The 1,506-nt window shown below is 42.5% G+C and overlaps 1 annotated feature.

Moving 5' to 3' along the window:
• Nucleotides 709-1,210: an enhancer, noted in NCBI's record as "H3K27ac hESC enhancer chr8:127433559-127434060 (GRCh37/hg19 assembly coordinates)". NCBI's record gives its function as "activates a minimal SCP1, AML or CMV promoter by ChIP-STARR-seq in primed H9 embryonic stem cells {active_cell/tissue: H9 hESC(primed)}" and the evidence as "EXISTENCE:reporter gene assay evidence [ECO:0000049][PMID:30033119]".

The following is a 1,506-nucleotide window of genomic DNA, read 5'->3' on the forward strand; positions in this document are numbered from 1 at the left end:
TCTAGGCACCCCATGAATCAATATTTCCCACATGCCTAGTAATTGAGTAATCTTAATAAAAAATAAGTGAAGTTACGCTAGGTCAGATATAATGCAGACAAGGAAAAATTTTTAAGTGACATAACATAATGGTTAGGTGGAGTTAGATTAACTAGATTCAAACCCTAGCTATATCACTTACTGGTGGTACGCTATTGGGTAATTCAGTTACACTCTCTTAGCCTCACTTCTCTCATTTATAAAATAAAGACAAAAATACCTTTCTCATAAGGTGTTAAAAAGATTACATTTAAAAATACGTGCCAAATGGCCAGGCACAGTGGCTCCTGCCTGTAATCTTAGCAGTTTGGAGGCCAAGGTAGGTGGATTGCTTGAGGCCGGGAGTTCAAGACCATCCTGGCCAATGTGGCAAAACCCCATATCTACTAAAAGTACAAAAATTAGCTTGGCATGGTGGCCCTTGTCTGTAGTCCCAGCTACTTGGGTTGCTGAGGCATGAGAATCACTGGATCCCAGAAGGCAGAGGTTGCAGTGAGCCAAGATCGCCCACTGCACTCCAGCCTGGGTGACAGAGTCAGACTCTGTCTCCAAAAAAAAAAAAAAAAAAAAAGCAAACCAAACGAAACCAAAACAAAACAAAAACCAGTATGTTGCAAAGAGCTAAGCCACAGGCCTTTGCACACAATAACCACTGATATTTACTAGTGTGTGTGTGTCTGAGTGTATATGCGAGCACTGTTATTAACTGGAGTAGTGACTGACATCGTAGGAACACAAAAGTAGATGTTTGAGGAAAAACCCTGTACACATGAGAACACAAGGGACCAAAGGGAGGCTGTGACTGGCCCAAGTTCATAGTGCAAGCGAATGGCAGATGCACCAGTAGAATAGGACTCATGACTCCTAAGGCAGTTACTCTGCAGGAATCTTGGCAATAATCTAACTGCTTCTTATTTTGTAAATATGGAAAGTGAATCCCAAAAAACCACATGGGATAGAGCTTATCCAGGGCACCATGATATATTAGTGGTAAGTATGACGCCCCATCCCATGTGTTTCAACTCCTGGCCCATGTTTTTCTCTGGCTTTTCTGAGTTCTCAATAGTACCTAATAAAATCCATGCATCAAGCATCCAGTCTGCAGGCGAAGAGTTGACTGTTGATATCTAGCCTCTCAAAAGCCAGGGACAGCTCTGAGAGCTGTCAGACCTTTGGGCGAGGACAGTGAAGATGAGGACAGTAAAGCTCGGCAGCTTTGATTCAAACGTAGCACTTGCAGAAAGACCTGTGGTTGTACCTTAATGTAAGTACTGAAAAAAGCACAGTAATCCCAGAGGCTTAGACAGTTTACATCCCAGCTAAGCAGTACTTTGGGCCCTTGGAAGCACCAAGAATATTCCAACCTAGCCTGGCCTCATTCGGACTGTGGACATATGAGAAAATCACTTCTTTCTGTGCTGCAGTTAATATTAGAAATAACGGTAACAGAGTTTCAAAGTGCATTGT

This window comes from Homo sapiens, chromosome 8 (genome assembly GCF_000001405.40).
Source record: "Homo sapiens chromosome 8, GRCh38.p14 Primary Assembly".
Classification (NCBI taxonomy): Eukaryota; Metazoa; Chordata; class Mammalia; order Primates; family Hominidae; genus Homo; species Homo sapiens.